Source organism: Homo sapiens, chromosome 4 (genome assembly GCF_000001405.40).
Source record: "Homo sapiens chromosome 4, GRCh38.p14 Primary Assembly".
Classification (NCBI taxonomy): domain Eukaryota; kingdom Metazoa; phylum Chordata; class Mammalia; order Primates; family Hominidae; genus Homo; species Homo sapiens.
In genome coordinates, this window is record NC_000004.12 from 138,396,790 (window position 1) to 138,416,114 (window position 19,325).

Sequence of the window (19,325 nt, forward strand, 5' to 3'; positions counted from 1 at the left end):
GGGATAGAAGCCTTAAATAAGTTGATATGGCTGAAATAAAGTACATATAAACAGATGTAGCTGACGATGAGGCTGTTAGAGGTCATCTCATAAAGCATTATGTTGTGGGCTGAATGCTGGTATCTCCTCAAAATTCATATGTTGAAACCTCATCTCCTAATGTGATGGTATTAGGAGGTAGGGTTCTTGGTAAGTAATTAGGATTACATGAGGTTGTGAGATTAGAGCCTTCATAAAGGTGATTAATGTCCCTATAGAGTCCCCAAAGAGCTTGCTGTCTCTTCACCATGTAAGGATACAGTGAAAAGTCAGCAGTTTGCAATCCAGAAGAGAGCCCTCACCAGAACCTGACCATGCTGGCACCCTGATCTCAAACTTTCAGCTTCTGGACTGGGAGAAATAAATATCTGTTATTTTAAAAGCCTAGTCTATAATACTTTATTATAGCATCCCAAACTATGACATACTGAAAAGAAGCCAGAAATTCTGTATATTTTAGACATTATGACCGCAATATGAAGAACCTATTCCTTATACCAAATCTAATCAGAGTTTTAATACTCTGAGGCCTGTGACCAAATGTTGGTGAGGCTTTCATTCTGTAAGGAATATACAAGTTACTGAGAGTCAGCAGGTGAATAATGGCTAAATGATGGAAATAGTATGAATAATACTAACTGGAAGCAACAAACCATCCCTTCTGCCTGTCTATTCATTTTAGTGTCTTCTAAACCATAGTGTTACTGTGAAAGTTTTGAAGAGGTATACAGTTATAGAAATTTTATTTTCTACATCATCAAACAATCATTCTTAAAAATGTGAGTGGACATAGTTTTAAAGTTATTAATTGCTAACTATCTTATAAAAAAAAGATCAGGTTGGGCACGGTGGCGCACGCCTGTAATCCCAGCACTTTGGGAGGCCAAGGTGGGTAGAACGTGAGGTCAGGAGTTCAAGACCAGCCTGGCCAAGATGGTGAAACCCCATCTCTAATAAAAATACAAAAAATGGACCAGGCATGGTGGCAGGCCCCTGTAGTCCCAGCTACTCAGGAGGCTGAGGCAGAGAATTGCTTGAACCTGGGATGCAGAAGTTGCAGTGAGCCGAGACCATGCCACTGCACTCCAGCCTGGGCAACAGAGCGAGACTCCATCTCAATTAAAAAAAAAAAAAAAAAAAAAAAAAAAAAAAGATCAATTCTGCCAAGTTTTGGCCAATAGAAACAACTTCTGAAGGGATTAAGGGACATTAAAACAATTGTTTTTTATTAACTGCATTGTTAAGATTAGTACCCTAAAATATTCTGTCCAGTTTTATCTATAAAAGATAATATGGAAGGCCTTAAATTAAAATGTGTAACATGTGTATGTGTGTATGCACATGTTTGTGTGTGTATAAGAGACTGAAACATGAGATACTTCAAATTCTTTTCAGAAAAAAATGTTTAAATGTTTAAAAATAAGAAGTTTAAACATAAATACATACAAGTAAACACCAAATACAAAGCAAAAACATTCTAACAGCGGTCCTCTGTTGTTTCTCTATCCATTAAATAAAAATTGCATCAGCCTGAAGTTTTCTCCTCTAATGGTACTCAAAGGTCCTAAACAGAAAACAAAGTACAGGTGCCTTTATTTGCATAGTGTCACCTCACCTAAAGAAAATCCCTCCTCTGCTCCTCTCCACTCTACAGGGCTAGGGAAGTCCTTTGATTCCTGATGCTGAAGTTCCTGTTTGCTCTCAGTATTGTTTGATCACTCAGGGAACAACAGAACAGCATGTAGCTGTTGCCTTTTTGGCACTGGCTTGATATTCAGCAGTAGGTGGTTTCTCACCAGTTTGGCTCTTGCTTTAGGACAATGAGTGACAAGATGTTAGTTCACACAGCATGACTTATGTAACTTACAAAAGAAAAAGATCAGGCTGGAGGTTTGTTCAGCAAATCAGCAAGATTTTCAAAACAAGAATAAAAGTCTTTTCCTTGCCTCTCAAAATAAGGTTGACTTGGCCAAACTAAAAAAGGGCAACTCAGTCAAGAGAATGAATCAATACATTGGGTTAATGCCATTCAAAATAGCCAGTGTGGATTCCCTAAAGAAGACGTCTTTTGGGTGGAGGGGGGTTGAAAACAGAAAATATTATTTATCAATGTGTTTATTTATTTACACAGTGGCCATGTTACTGTAAGGAGTCTAAACCTAGAGGAACAAAAGTTCTGCCCCAGAGTTTCAAGAAACCAAAATTACATGGAATAATTTGGCTTGATTCTAATAAACTCACGTAAATGCTTGTCTCTTGCTTAGAGTATTTTTAGCTCCACAAAGATTGTTTGTCAGAAAGTCAAACATCCCTTCACATGAAAGCACTGTAATAGCCATTTTTTAATTTGGGAACTAGTGTTTTTGAGGTGTCAATTGTGATTTGTTTTCACAGCTACAGGAAAAACTTCCTGAGAAGTTGTATAAATAATTGTTAAAACTCAGAGTCTAGATTTCTGAATGAATCATGAATGTTCACATTTGACTCTTCCTCTTTGCTTCCTAGAAATAACAGTCACACAGCAAGCAAAATTTCCAAGATTGTTCAATATTTAATTACCATGTTTTTCATGAATTTTTCTTAAAAAAATAGAGTCTATGCATTCCTCTGGAGTCTGTAATTCTGATCTTAATATTCTTTCCTATAATTATGTCTTAAGGGGACAATGTTTCCCCAAATTTAAAAAGGTAGGTTGGTTTTGACAGACAATTTAAGGTCCATACCCACTACCCACTAGCCATATATAGATTCTTTTCTAAGATTGTCACCCAATATAATAATAGGCATGTAGGATTTTTCCCCTTATATCTCTAAGAAGTTAACATTTTCCACATATCTTTGAAAACAAAGTAAAAGCAAAATAGCTTCCACAACAACTTTACAATCTGATTTTTAAAATATAACTAGAAGTCAAATACACTGAAAAGCCAACCAAACATGGTTTCAGGAAGCTAAAAGAAAATGCACATCTTATATATAGCAAGGTTCTATTTTTTTCTAAGTCAGAAAAAGTATTAGAAGGGTTATTAGCAGTAAATAAAGCATAAAGGTAGGGTCATACCATGGAACAGTCATTGTGTTAGTAACAAAAGAAATGGACTCATGCAAGCTTACCACTAGCCACTTGATCTCTCTGACTTGACCTTTCTGAGATGCCGGACAATAGCTGGTCTATTCACCCACTAGACCAGGTGGTTGTGAAGTTCAACTCACATCATGTATGTAATGGTGCTTCACAATTTGTAATATACTTAGAAAAAGGTTAGGAGTTATTGTGTAAATGTGAGGTGTTATGATTTTGTTAAGGTAAGGTGAAAGCTGCTATTCTTATTCTTCTATTCCCACTTTAATTCTTTATGAAAGACAATGACTTAAAAAAGTCAATTCATGGTAATAAAATCTCCACTAATCAATGTAGCAATATTTTCAACTTATTTCTTAAGTTCTCTCTTCCATCCTGTAACCCAGTTATGTCACATAACCCTATGCTTTTAGATATAGAAAGAACATTTGTCATTTTATAGTCCCAAGTCATAATATTATAGACAAGGAGACAGAGGTGCAGATATAAAATGAAATTACTGAAAAGGACCTTGCCATAAACATAAGAAGTCAGTAGGCAGTGAAGACTGAGGATTCCTTCTCAGTGTTTTGGCTACCACTGTGGCTGATGATAGTTTTAGGAGACAGTACTGGAGTCACTGATGGCCAATAGGTATCTGCAAAAGCACAAATATCATTTCTATGAAAGTTAAAAATAACAATCATATTTGGTCACCTGTTTTATTTTGTTTGAAAAGTGTCCATGCTGATTGAACAAACACATTCAGGCATGGCACGTCTGTGCTGTGTAGTGTTGCATAGCTTTCATCACCCTAAGGCTGTTCTTTGAGAGAGACCGACTTCATGCTGAACTCAGCATGAGGACAACAGGGCAGGACACCAATTAGTGGAGGCATTTGCACCAACTTGACGGAACCACTGTGCAGGGAAGTTCACGGGAACCAAAGCAATAGCAGAAGCATGTCCTTTGGCAGTAAATAATTAAACTGGAAGTAAAAAATTTATCCTTCATAGATGGGAGTTTGATTTATATTCAAGAAAATCTTCAGCCTTCAGAAAATCTAAGCAGTTACCAATCCCACGTGATCTTGATGAAGCCATGAGAAATTGCACTGTTCTCCTGTACTGCACTTTCTATATAATCTAAATTCACTTTTTTGACCTTCAGCAGAATAGGCATGGAAGCAGAGGTCATGACTCTGTGTTAGCGTAGTATCAAATAGATGCTGTCAGGACCCCAAATCCCTACTCCCTGAAAATAAACACCACTTGCTTGTCTGGCCAGCTAACGCCATATTTTTGTAGTTCACAAGTTTCATTTAACTATAATTTTTAAGTATTATATTTGCTAAGTTTTTACAACATGAATTGTTTTTAGAGAAAAAAAGAGTGAGATAAGTAGCCATGTATTGGCTGTGTTTTTTCTAGTACGTGTTTTGCTTTTAATAGTAATTTCCAGATCTAATTCCCTCTTGGCCTATTTCCATTCAGAGTGCCCAGCTAGAAAATACTAAGAAAAGATCACAAATCAAATGTCTTATGATAATATCCTCAGAAATTTTAAACAGCTCTAAGAGATTTGGCCTCAGACCCAAACATTTACATGATCGCTCAATTTTAATGAGGTCAAACAAGCTGCTTGGCATCTGGCCAGTGCTCAAGGTCTTGGCCTGAGTGGGGAGGGCCATCTTGTTCTTACAGAGAACGTTAAGACATAGTGACAGGTGATAATGTAATGCATGAGGATGCTGCCCTTGGCCATTTCATCTTTTCACCCCTCTGGATTCCCAGAGGCAACGTTTTGGCCAGATGTAAACACTTTTACCAGTAGCTAAGGATCTGAAGAAGAACCACATTTTGCAGAGAAGCATTTTAAAGGATTTAAATAACCCCCTAACATTTGTCACAATGGGTTCATCAACCTGAGAAAACAAGAAAGAAAACAGACCTCTGGAAGTGCTAAGCAGAGTGATGGAGGCTACTAAGGAGCCAAATTAATACAGCTGTATTTTCATCTTGATTTTAAACAGCCAACTCTTGAGTATTAAAGTCACATCAAAGATATATGTTCCTTTATAACTCCTCCATCTTAAATATTATCTTTGAAAAAATTAAGTTATTCTTGAGTAGACTGTTTTTTCTTCAAGTAACAGCAATGTATTTAAGTCTACTTAAATCTTATTTAAATAATTTACTAATTCTATAGGGTTGTTCATTAGAAACCAAGATTGAATTTAAAAAAAATTTAAGGAGAGCAATCTCAGATGTAACTCACTTGGCAAACAATTGCTTATGTTTTTCATTCTAATTATCAATATGAAATTTTCATCTTAATATCTTGCTTAGTACAGAGCCTGCCATGATACCAGTGAGGGGCCTTGTCACCAAATGTGGGAAGGAGCAAAGCACCTATAAACAATCTTAACACTCACTTTTACAATAAAGCATTGAGATTAATACATATATATGGTGTATTAGTCTGCTCTCACACTGCCATAAAGATACTACTTGACTCTGTAATTTATAAGGAAAAGAGGTTTAATTGACTCACAGTTCTGCATGGCTGGGGAAGCCTCAGGAAACTTACAATCATGGCAGAAGGTGAAGGGGAAGCAAGAACCTTCTTCACAAGGTGGCAGGAGAGAGAGAGAGAGAGAGAGAGAGAGAGAGAGAGAGAGAGCACACAAGGGAAACTGCTAGACATCTATCAAACAACAGATCTCATGAGAACTCCCTGACTAGCATGAGAACAGTATAGGGGAAACTGCTGCCATGATCCAACCACCTCCCACCAGGTCGCTCCCTCAACATCCAGGTTTTACAATTCGAGATGAGATTTGGGTGGGGACACAGAACCAAACCATATCATACAAGAACCCAAAGGTAAAAACAGTAAAATCATTCTCTACTAATATTATGTTACCTTAGAATCCACAAAATCCCACTTTTTCATACATTTAAAGGGTTATGAAGAAAGAGTTTTAAATCACAGAAATGAATATTAAAACTTGTTTCAGTTGACTTGTAAATAACAGTAAACTACTTTATTATGGAGGTTGTGAATGTTCTCTAACAGAATTTCAGGCCAGGCATGGTGGCTCACACCTATAATCTCAGCACTTTGGGAGGCTGAGGTGGGCAGATCACTTGAGGCCAGGAGTTCAAGACCAGCCTGGCCAACATGGTGAAATTTCATCTCTACTAAAAATACAAAAACCAGCTGGGCATGGTGGCACGTGCCTGTAATCCCAGCTACTTGGGAGCCTGAGGCAGGAGAATCGCTTGAACCTGACAGGTGGAGGCTGCAGTGAGCCGAGATCGCATCACTGCACTCCAGCCTGGGCAACAGAGCAAGACCCTGTCACAAAAAATAAAAATAAAAAAGAATTTGAGAAAGTACTCATTATAAAATGATGTTGAAAATATAAAGCAAACAAAGTGAAAAACTCAATGGCTCTCCTAATTCCTAAGAAGAGAATTACCATATGGATAAGCAGTCAAGTGGGAAAAGATGACTATTTTCTGAGACCAGAGAGAAGCTCTCTAAGTCCCTCTTGTGTTAAGTCTGTCCTACTGTTGAGAATGTGTTTATGGGGTAGAAATTATTTCCCCATCTCTAATATTCTTTTACCATGCACTCAACAACCTAAGGATATGGTCTTAGGTTGTAGAGATCTTTGAAAGTTACTTTTCTGTGTCACTACAAGCATGCAGGCCGAAGACCAGGGTTGTTCTATACTAGGAGCACCCTCCATCAGAACTTTCTGAAATGTTAGAAATGCGCCATAACTGTACTGTCCAATATGTCAGCCATTACCCTCATGTAATCAAATGTAGCTACCATGACTGAAGAACCAAATTTTTTATTTTATTTTTATTTTATTTTAGCTATTTTAAACTTAAAAAGCTACATGGGTCTAGTGGCTCCGTCATTGGATAGAACAGCTGCAAAAGCAAACATAAAGCTTGTGGGCTGATAATCAACTAGATCTACTAAAAACATGTGTCAGTCTGCACCATAAAGAATAAACTATTCCTCTTTGAAGCATCTATGTTAGTTCTATCACCGCCATTGTTTCGGTTCTTTAATATCATCTGCTGTGGATCTCTAAAAACTGGGAAATTGAAAGCCAGGGTAGAAAATCTTATCAATTAAATCAGCACATTCCAGGTGACAGAAAATATTGGGAACTTGTTCACTTATCCACAGATCACAGGTGTGAAACTTACGTCATGTAGTGCATTGTGCGGCCCTCTTCATACATGTGGCAAACTACCCCATCAGCAACTATGAATAACAAGAGTTTTTATTTGGCTTAAAGAAAGAAATATAAACTTGACTTAATGAGAGTACTCTGACCAATGGAGGAGTTCTTTTAAGAATCAACTGTTTTTACCTCCCAGATAGACAGTCCAAGAAGAAACAGACTTAGTTACATAAAGGAAAATAAAGATCAGATGCAAAGAGTTTCTTTCCAACTTCAATATTAGGCAATGAAATGGGTTCCCAAAGGGTGACTTCAGAATCTCTAACACAGGACATTGTCATACAAGCCATCTGGTTTAGCTTACTGGTGTCATCCACTACATGCTATTTCTAGAATTGGGTATTTTATTTTAGCTGAATATGTTTGGTTGAGTATCTTACATAAAGGTCTTGCTATATTTTTTTCCAGACTTTGGACTCCCACATAGTCTAGTGTGTATGCATAATTATTTCCTTAAAAGTATAAGTTCAGAGTTAAGGTTAATAAGACCTCATATATGTTGGTACTAAGGTTGTTATTTAGTTGTAAAGTGTAGCAATGTGATTGGCACTGTATTGAGGTGCAAAAGATACAGTTCTTAACCTAAGGGCATAATCCAAAATCTAGCCAAGTGAAAGATAAAGATATGATTATAATTTTATTATTCAACACTTCTATTTGTAGAAAAACTCTAGGAAAAAAAGTTTTTAGAAGCATTATTGAGCAGTATGAAATAATATGGATTTCAACTTTTAAAAATTAGGGGTAAGAGAAAAGAAATAAGAAGGAAACAAGTTGACATATTGGGCAAGAATTTAGAGAGAGTAATAAGCTTGGTATGTGTTTATTAGCAGTAGACAATAAGTTTGGAGGATTAATTATTAACTGTAATGCAGAGAATAAAATCCTGCTATGGGCTGTATTTATTAAGCGCAGTTTTGACAAGCAATAATTATGTAAGCACAACATTCCCTTTCATAATTAGTTGGGTTTTTTTTAAGCTTTCACCATTCACAATTTGCCCCCAAAATGTTAACCATAATACAATACCACAGATGCAAAACATTCAGGGGGTCTTCGTGCACATTTTCAGCCTTCTGCAAACACACTCTGCCCTCAGGAATCAGTGAATCTTTGAGACAAGCTCTCCCCTATACCATTGCCCACCTGCACCCCAGGCCACAAACAAAATGGAAGATACAAAACGAGGTGATGCAGGATGGTAAGAAAGAGAGCTTTGGGTAGTGACCAAAGAGAAAGTAGATCTGAGAGACTGCAGGTGATGAAAGAATTAAAAATCCGAGACAAAGAAAGAGCTAGGAGGGTCAAAACTTCAGGAGCCCTGCTTTCCTGTCTCCAGTCCTTGATCTGGCTGAAACTGTGCAGAAGTGAAAGCAAGGGCCTGTGACAGGTGACTCTCTCACAGTTCTTTCTGCAAGAGACCATCTGACTCCTGCCACCAGTGTGACAAAGACCACATGGAGGTCTGGGCTGAAAATCAGATCACCAGCCTCTAGCAGGTAAGGCTGCTACTATTAGATTTGCCCTAAGACTGCTGGATATATTTTATGACAGGTACCATTGGGTAACTCATTGGTTAGGAATGTGGGTTCTGGAGTCAGACTGCCTGAGTTTAAGCTTCAACCCACTGCCTGGCTGTGTGACCTTAGGTAAGTTAATTACACTGCCCAGGCCTCAGTTCCCCTAACTATGAATAGGACACAGTGACACTGACCTTGTGAGTACTAAAGGAAATTGTGTTCAGGAAAATGTTAGAGTAGTGGCTAGTTTGCTATAAACACTCAACAAATATTATATTACTCATTGTTATTTGTAACTTTCTGACTCTCTTGGAATAGTTTAACTGTATTTTCCATAACAAACAAAATTACTGATATTTAATGGCTGCTGAACTGACAGACATGATGGTTTTAGTGGTTGGTAAATCTCATTAAACAGGTTTCTAATAGCCAACTGGTATTTAATGAGCATATTGATGGTCTTACTGTCTTTAAATTAAACCCTATTTCAACCATTTAATTTCTGTTTATAACATACTTCCATCCTTTTAAAAGAAGCATATAAAGCTTCTCTTGAAAAGAAAAATGTCCATTCACTTTTTTCTTCCCTGTTTTATTGACTGCCTAAATTCTTAGTAGCATTTGGGCAGACACTTCGTGCTGTTCAAGCCTATTGAGTCATGTGCTGTTGTGAAATTATTGTCTACCTAACCACAAATGCAATATGCTGGTATAACTTCCTCTTTTAAACAGTTTTTGATTGTCAGACAATCCTAAACATATTCTCTTTTCACTTGACAATGCAATTTTATCTATATGCCCTTCTTTCTTATTTTCCTTTTTGTCTTTGCCCCTTGCAGATGACTTCAATTCCATCATTACTATTCCTGTCTACTTGCAATATCAATATTATTTATCATTGTGTTGATGTGTGCTTTCTTCTATCCCATACATCCTATCAGTATAAACTCTTTCATTATATTGATTAACCAACTCAGTTTATGGCAGTGTTTCTTTATCTGTCATCAATTGATTATCACACATTCATCAGGCACTGGATAGAATTCATAGGATATGCCACAAAGTGAGAAGGGGGATCATTTGCTTCAGAGAAGACACATTTACTGATCATACTGCAAAGAGCAAGCTGACCCCTGCTTGAGATCTTACAGAGAACTACAGAAAATTCACAAAAGCCCCCACAAAAGAGTCTGCTGTGACCATCTGTCAAGTTGTCAGCTGTAAACAACTGCCAAAATGCTAGATCACCTCACAAGGAGCTGTGAAGTAACATCTTTGCTGCCTTTCTTACTTCTTCCTTCCTGGCACCAATCCTTGAAGAGCCAGAAAACTCTGCCGGTGAATTGGAGAAGGAGTAGAAGTAGTATTAGACTAGGTAATAAATCTCTTCCACCCCTACTTCAACTTCTGGCTTCCCACTCACAGCAGACTCAAGCTGCCAGAAAGGAAAAAAACTTCAACTTTAACACAAGATCAAAGTTTTTACAAACACATGCTTCTGACAGTTAAATTACTAAACTGGGGCAGTTTTCTGTGACCTGAAGTAACAAGAAAACTGTATTACTCAACAGTGACCAGAAACATCATGGAATCTGCCTAACTTTTCACAAAGAAATGAAAAGGCTAAACTTACAAACTACATTTAAAAGGATAGAGGGAGAGAACATTTAAGCTACTTCTTGACTATATTCCACAAGTCATCTCTGTTCAATATATCAGCTGTTTCTTGGAAGAGAAAATGGTGATATCAGGGTACACGATGGCTTCCTCAAGAAGAAGCTGTCATGCCCAGGCCAAACTCAATGACAGCCCTTGAATTCATGGAAATTATCCCAGGCAGAACACACATCCTTGTCATCACTGTCAAGGATTACTGATTACACTATCGCATTTCATCTGCACCTACGGACATAAGAAAGCATCAAACTACAAGTCTTTTCATGTCCCCAAGCTGCTAAAAAGGAATCATCTAAAATGCCTCTTCCTGGCCTCCCAGGAAGGTGTTGTAGAGATTCTCATGAAGAATTATTATTATCTCTTTTAAATAATAGCTCGGCATTAACAGAAAATTTTCTCTGTATTATTGCCATCACTTAAAGACAGAACTTATGACACCACAAATGACCCAGAGAAAAGGTAGTTCTAAATCAATGCAAAATAACAAAAGGATAAAAAGCATATCCCCAGAGACACACCAGGAGATGCACACTGTGTTGCATTTATTAAAATGCAGGTGTAAGCATAAGGCATAAAATGACAATATTAAACCAAGAGTTTAAATTATGTAGAATATTTTATAAGATTATAGCTTTAATTTCCTTTGGGGAAACTAAGGTGGAAAATAGTAGTTTCGTGAGACTGTTCACTGTTGATTTGAAAGCCATCTGGCTAATCCGTAGCATTTATTTTTTTAATGAATAAATGAAAATCAAAAGAAGGATGCAATATTATTCAAGAAAAAGATTTGTGCTTTGAAAGTTTTAAAATAATATTGCAACTCCAAAATTACATGTAAATCCCTCAAAATAGACCAAGTAGGCACGTTCTCCCAATCTAATGTCTATTTAACTCCATTGAAACAGGTGATCTATTTCTTAATATTGCCTATGTATGGGCAAGAAATGTGGGTATTTGCTCTGTTTTGTTTTAAATAGAAACTTCTAATTGTATTTTCTTTCTCTGGGAATCACACCTCCAAAGTGGTACACTGTAGGAAATAGGACAATCCTAGGGGCCATGGGCCTTCGTGAGAGGTATAAGTCTTGCTCCATCCCATTTCAGATGTGCAAGATGTTTACTCTGACACGGCCTATGTATCTTTAAGAAGCTCAAATAATACTAATTCAATGCCATTCCTAAGTTATCAAGAGGATCCAACAAGTCAGTGAGCATACAACTGTAAAGACAAAGTAATCTAAAATGGAGATTATTTTATTCTTTTTGTTATAGTGTTTCAATGAGGAATTATATTTCAGTAAAGAACAAGGAAAGTAATAGAAAAAAGAAAGAAAGTATAATGCTATAAATAAGGACCACATATTTCTCCATGCCCTGTTTACCCTAATATGTAAATATAGAGGGCTACAAAGAACAAATAACAATTCAAAGAAATAAAGGGGCCATTTAATATTGAATCACAAAGGCCTCTGACAAACCCCAAATCCACCCTCCTGAAGCAAATCACCACTTTCCAAGACATGGGATAACCTATTGAGTTTCTCTAGCTCTTCAAAGTTCTTTCTTCTTTTGCCTTGTTGTGACCACTTCTCCAAAAGAGGGACTGAAAGCTTACTATCAAGTAACTTTGAATGTCCACATTTTATTCTCCCTCTTCCTTGTGACTTGCTCGACTAAAGGGAGATTTTGTTTCCTCCATTCCAATTCTGCATCAAAATAAAACTGCTGTGTTTCATCACTTCCATGTTTGAAGCATTTGCCTTGATCATTTGGGTAAGCGTAAATTTTTCACCTGCAATTTGATCATTCTTATTTCCTTAGCAGTAATTTTACAGTTTTGGAAGTCCTATCAGAAAACTAAAATTGTTCTGAAAAAAATTGCCTTAACTTTATCTTCCAAATTTTAAAAACAATAGGGGCACATCGTGGAATATGTTAAAAAGTGTAATTTTTAAAAAGCAGAAAAATAATTTTGGGGTTTTTTTGTTGCTGGTTTATTCTTGTTCTTTAAAATAGTCAAATTTGTATTGCATATACATTTGTTATCCTACTTTTTACTTACTATCATGTCATTCACATTTTCATGTCAAAAATTATTTGTAACAAAGTTTAATGCTAGTTATAGTTGATTATTCAGATATAATGCCTAATTTTACAATAGTGAAATTTCAATTGCTTTGTATTGGTTTATAATAAATGCTAGCTAGTTTGCTATGGAAGCTTGGATCTACTCATAATTTGTTTTTTTAAGCATCAGAAATAGTTTTGAATTCAAGCAAATGTCTTTGTAGCACTAATTGAGATATTCAACAATTTTTCTCTGTTACCTGTTAAAACATGAGTTGTTACCTTCATTTTCCTCCTTTTCTTTTTTATTTTAAAGTGCTGCAGTTGGGAAATGTGGTCAGAAACATGTCTTACCTTTTAGAATGATCTGAGATTGTCTTTGGGAGTATCTTGTTTATAAATATGCACTTTCAGTGGTATTTTGAAGCTTTGACAATGGAGAAAGAAGCTTGAGGTTATTTTTCTTAAACTTATAAGGTCACTTGCAAGTCTCTCTGTTTTCACTTTCATTGTTTATCTACAGAATAAAAGGTATAACTATGACCAAGAAGTGAATCGGTTCAATGTGGAAAGCCAGATGGCATGCCACTGTTTTCTCCTTCGTTTCCTAAGGAACACTTTTAAGAAACCGTGGACAGTGACCAACCATCCCCATTTGTACCGGACTGAAGAGTTCCCTAGGATATAGGACTTTAGGTGCTAACACTAGGAGGGTTCCAGGCAAACTAGGATGTTTGGTCACCCCTGAACAATTTTCCAGAGTGAAGTTTATTCAACATCAAACTCTCAGTACTTAAATCCAACTAAGTGAACCAGTTCCTGCTGAAGAGATTCACATTTACAATCCCCTTTCTGTGACAGGGAGTCTTCACAACTGAATCAATTGAATAATCAGAATAATGATGGACATTGAACTTACTCATCTTAGTGATGATGTTCTAAAAACATGTGTGAAGGGTGCATGTACCAGTTATAATATGCCATAACTAGGTGACCTGGCCACCAGTCCTTCTCATTCTCTGTCCCCTCCACTGCCCCTGGCTTCTTGCCCACACTGCTCCAGTCACTCTGGCTTCCTGCAGCTCAAGTGTTTCTGCTTGCAGTTCCCCCTGCCTCTGTCCTTACTCTTCTGCCAAATATCATGTAGTTTGCTCCTTCATTCAAGTCTTGGCACAAATCTCACCTTATCAGGGAGGACCTCCCTGACAACCCATTATAAAATAACACCTTTACTCTCTATCCCTTTACCTTTTATTTTATTTATTTACTTATTTATTTATTTATTTATTTATTTTGAGATGGAGTATTGCTGTGTCGCCCAGGCTGGAGTGCAGTGGCGCCATCTTGGCTCACTGCAACCCCTGCCTCCCGGGTTCAAGCGATTCTCCTGCCTCAGCCTCTCGAGTAGCTGGGATTACAGGCGCCTGCCACCACGCCCGGCTAATTTTTTGTATTTTAGTAGAGACAGGGTTTCACCGTGTTGCCCAGGCTGGTCTCAAAGTCCTGAGCTCAGGCAATCTACTCGCTTCGGCTTCCCAAAGTGCTGAGATTACAGGCATAAGCCACCGCACCCGGCCCCACCATTTTATTTTTTTTTTTATCACAGTTACAAACCCCTGACATGTATTTATGTATTTGTTTAGCGTTTGTTTCCACCCCACTAGACTGTGAGCTCAGAGGTTAAGGTAGGCACTTAATGAATGAAGCGATATGGTAAACACCACCGACGCTGGAGTCAGAATGGCTCGATTGAGAACTCAACTCTGCCTCGAATAATTATGTGACCCTTAGCAGGTTACCTCACTGAAATTTTCTAGGCCCCAGGTTCCACATAGATAAAATGAGGGTAACAATAGCCCCTACCTCTAAAGGTTGTTTTGAAGAGGAAACAAAGTAACACACAGGAACCATTTAGGGCGGTGTCAGGTGTGTGGTAAGTGCTCAGTAGGTGTTGTCCTGTATTGCTACTATTTCCCTCATTAATGAATATGTTTCCAAATATTGAATTAAACAGAAGCATCAAGCCTGGGGTTATCTGAATATGAATATGTAAACTATCAAGATCACAAAATGGCAGATGTTGTATTTAATGTTTGCTATAAAATATATATATATATATTTTTTGGAGACGGAGTCTTGCTTTGTCGCCCAGGCTGGAGTGCAGTGGCGCCATCTTGGCTCACTGCAGCCTCCACCTCCCGGATTCAAGCAATTCTCCTGCCTCAGCCTTCTGAGTAGCTGGGACTACAGCCGCATGCCACCACGCCCGGCTAATTTTTGTATTTTAGTACAGACGGGGTTTCACTGTGTTGCCCAGGCTGGTCTCAAACTCCCGAGTTCAGGCAGTCCGCCTGTCTTGGCCTCCCAAAGTGCTAGGATTACAGGCGTGAGCCACCATGCCGGGCCAACAATAATATAAAATGTTTTGAATGCCAGATCATTTCAAAGTACTTTTCATTTTTGCAAAATTGTTCCCTTTGTAATTGTTACTCTGGTTTCAAGCAGACTTGCTAATCCAACACTTGTGAGCTTAGTAGTAAGTGACTATTTAAGCACATCTTACAGGTTTCCCAAGATGGTCTGGTCTTGGGTTTTACTGAGCACATTTGCATTGTGAGCAACATTTGTATTGGGAATTGTTCCTTTAATTTCTAAGGCATTTACACAACCAGTTTCCCTGACCAGGATCATTTTCTGGGCCATAAAACACACTAAATTTGGTTTAGTAGGAGGCATCAGTGGAAGCCTTTGTCATGAACTCCACCAGCAGGGTATTCCTACAACATGTCACCTAAATGTTTCTGAAATTTTACAGAGTTGAGCAGATGGTTGAGCTCTCTGATATTGTCTATAATGGCCCCACAAAGCTTTGCTTTCATTTGTAAAATTTTAATTTTCAAACAATAAATCATGGACAGGGGGATTAAGAAGTACTTTTTAAAATTATTCAAGGGTATCATCCTATGTGCCTATAAGGAGTTAGATACAGGTTCCTGTTTACAATCTTAAAATCTTTTGGCTTGAAGATGTTTGGGAAGAAAGAAGGGAAGCATGCAAATTTGTAATTTTGGAATTTTGAGTTTTGTCACTGTATTAGTTCATTCTTGCATTGCTATAAAGAAATACCTGACACTGGATAATTTATAAAGAAAAGAGGTTTAATTGGCTCATAGTCCTGCAGGCTTTACAGGAAGGATGGCAACGCCATCTGCCTGGCTTCTGGTAAAACCTCAGGGAGTGTTCAGTCATGGTGGAAGGTGAAGGGGGAGCAGGCACATCACATGTTGAAAATAGGAGCAAGCTAGAGAGAGTGGTGGCGAGGTGCCACACACTTTTAAACAACCAGATCTCATGTGAACTCAGAGCAAGAGCTGGCTTGTCACCAAGGGGATGGCCCAAGCCATTCATGAGGAATTCACCCCCATGATCCAAACACCTCCCACCAGGCCCCACCTCCAACACTGGAGATTACAATTTAACATGAGATTTGATGGGGACGTGTATTCAAACTATATCAGTTACTCACTGAAGGAAGAAATAATAAGAACGAGCCCACCAACCAAAAGCTAGGCAACTACCATACCTCAGTGCTCCCACATCAATTGCATGGCTCACTTTGATATGAGGGCAAATCATAACCGCTCCCTCTCTAAGAGCTACTTTGTGGTCCACAGGAGAGGAACGGCCTCGTGACACTCAAATGGCCCTGGTACTCACAAGTTAACAAACTTCAAAATGCTATTTGAAAGGGAAACTAATAACATTAAAAAGAGGTCACAGTACTGTTTGAAAATCTACAAAGGAGTCATGATCTTTGTTCAAGGAAGTAAAATATTAAGGAAATTTGTGTTAGTTGAGTTCTTGACTGAACATGTGCTATGAATTTCTGATTGTGGAAGCTGCTTCCTATTCGAAAATAAAATAAAACTCTCTTGGTATGCAAATGATAAGAATATGTTTTGGTATCAAACAATATCTAAAAGCAAACTCTCTGCAAAGTATCCCAGAATGGTTTACTTAAGAACATCCTGGCTGAACTTCAAAGTAGAGCCTACTGGAAAATATTTACCCAGACTATTTGAAAAGAGATTTGAAAAGAGAGTTTCATTGATTTCCATTGTCCAGCTTTATTTCATGGATTTCTATCATTTGACTGTATTTTTTATTATCAGTATCATTGCCACAAGAAAGTATTACAGTCAAGAGATGATAAATAATAATGATGATAGTAATTGTAAATCCAAAAACTTTTACCTGTTAATAACTCTGTAACTAACTACAATAAATTACCTTTAGTATACAAATAGGCCTGGTGCAGTGGATCATGCCTGTAATCCCAGCACTTTGGAAGGCTGAGGCAGGTGGATCACTTGAGGCCAGGAGTTCAAGACCAGCCTGACCAACATGGCAAAACTCCATGTCTACTACAAACACAAACATTAGTCAGGTGTGGTGGCACATGCCTGTAATCCCAGCTACTCGGGAGGCTGAATCACGAGAATCATTTGAACCAAGGAGGAAGAGGTTGCAGTGAGCCGAGATCATACCACTGCACTCCAGCCTGGATGACAGGGTGAGACTCTGTCTCAAAAAAATAAAAAATAAAAACAAATAAACCTGTAACTTGTATTTACCAATGCCACATCAAGCAGGACAGCATAACTGACCCAGTAAAAATTATTCTCTGGCTCAGCACAGAGAGTGAAAGTAGCTGGAAATTCATAATACAACCTTCTGCAACTAGATCAAGGCGCTTCCCAGGTTCTTTCGCTTGATTTTACCACATGATTGTGGCCACCATCTTCCCTGATTTGTATCCTCGATTTCCTCTGTTGTTCCCTCAAGTAGCTCTCTGCACATATGATTGTATTCCCATGACAGCTGTTGCTTCTCTTGGTGGGCCTGTTAGTCCAACTGAAACCAGGAACTCTGGCCTGCAGAGATACATTCTGTGCTGAGGACATAGTGGTTCTGTAATTCATCTGAGTTCCAGTGGTTAAGCTCAGTTACTAGGCAACACCACCATGAGACCACAGATCCTGGTTGCACATGTACATGCCTTCTCTGGCTCACCTTCTCCATTAGCCTCCTTTCCCTGGGATTCAGAGAAAAGTCTTTGGAGACTGGGCCAGAAGACAAATAGAGTGATTAACAAAGCTTATCTAAAATTACTAATGATCCTTCATAGCCATGCTGCCATCCCACATCCCAATCTCTGTCAGAGGAAAATCCTAATTCCAAATAATTTATTTAAAATTGGCACAGTTCTGTCATGGCAAAAAAATGCACAGGAGATGGCAACCTTAAAGCCTGGTGTACCTAGCTCTTTTGTCAAGATGCAAGCCTGAGGCCGAGCCTGAAAGTCCACTGTCAACTCTCCTCTACCTGAAGCTCTGAGAGGAGTAGGAAACTCATTCTACTAAAGCCTGCAGTGCTTATGGTGCCAATCTCTGAAAATAAAAGAATTGGAACCATGCTAGAAAATAAAAATGGATTACCTTTGAAGGCTCACATGATAAAAGTAATTTGGAATAGACTTTGTATTTCCCTTAGCCTCACCTTTTACCCATTGCATTAATTTTCCTTACATACCTGTGAATCAAGGCACTACAAATTCATTACTTACTGATAAGACGTGTCCAATTTCTTAAAGAATAACAATGTATCTTCAAATACTCAGATTTAAAATACTGTAGTCCTAGTTTTTTCATACTTTTTGCATTTCTCTTGACACATTTTGGGTGACATAAAATGTCCCACGTAGCCACTAGTAATTATAAAACAGGTACACACAGAATTGGAAAGCACATATTTTATGCTTGATTATTATTTTTCTATCTTTGTCCACCAGTGTAATCTATTCTCTCAACTGAGTAAATTGGGTATCATAATAGCTATGGCAGGGCTAGTGCTATGCAGCCTCCTTTGGGAGTAGGGAGTTTGGGAAGCCAAATAGAGGTGAAATATGAACCAACAGGGTAATACATCTGAAAGTATGAAGATAGTGACATAACTTTTATTCTGGTTGACATGGGTATTACAATTATCAGATCATCAGTGATATCAAATGTGCAGTGAGTCAAATTTGATATGAATAAACTTTCTAATGATATGATGCTTCAAACTTTCACTTGCACTGTAGTTCACCATAACCTTCACTGGCTTCAGGTTGATTAGGTTATCGATAGCTAAAGTCATTTCTTCAGAGAATGCTGCTGGAATCTCAAACACACCCCAATATTTAAATTATTGTATAGATAGTTTAAGACTACTCAAAAGACCCCAAATAACAGCTAGGTAAATTTCAACTTATCAGCTGCCAGAAGTATAGACACATCAGTGAGGGGATTCTCCTACGATTCTGGTACATTTATGAGATTAAAACCAGCCATACATTGCCAAGTGCAATGTCCATCCCAGATGATAGCCAATCAATATTTATCAAGCTTCTCTAGAATGAGACAGAGAAGGCTGAGAGCTAAGAGATCTGTCCAACTTCTGCCACTAATGAGCTATGTGGTTTTGGGAATGTCACTTAGTGTTTCCTGGCCTCGGTTTCTTCTGCTGCAAACTGGGCAAGATAATCTGTGGTCCCATCCAAAGAATTTCCCTGCTCAGTTAACAAGGTCATGGTCATTTACAGAGAAGTTTCATTTTGGAGTCCATGGGAGGCCAGAACATAAAACTTCAT

The 19,325-nt window shown here is 38.0% G+C and overlaps 1 long non-coding RNA gene across 1 annotated transcript in view, besides 2 other annotated features; it reads left to right on the forward strand.

Annotated features, from left to right (window-relative positions):
* LINC00499 (long intergenic non-protein coding RNA 499) overlaps nucleotides 1-19,325 on the forward strand; it is a 114,634-nt gene that overhangs the window by 87,079 nt on the left and 8,230 nt on the right. The window lies entirely within an intron of this gene.
* Nucleotides 1,503-2,125: an enhancer, noted in NCBI's record as "OCT4-NANOG hESC enhancer chr4:139319446-139320068 (GRCh37/hg19 assembly coordinates)". NCBI's record gives its function as "activates a minimal SCP1, AML or CMV promoter by ChIP-STARR-seq in naive and primed H9 embryonic stem cells {active_cell/tissue: H9 hESC(naive and primed)}" and the evidence as "EXISTENCE:reporter gene assay evidence [ECO:0000049][PMID:30033119]".
* Nucleotides 8,831-8,890: an enhancer, noted in NCBI's record as "active region_21913". NCBI's record gives its function as "activates an Ori minimal core promoter by ATAC-STARR-seq in GM12878 lymphoblastoid cells {active_cell/tissue: GM12878}" and the evidence as "EXISTENCE:reporter gene assay evidence [ECO:0000049][PMID:35858748]".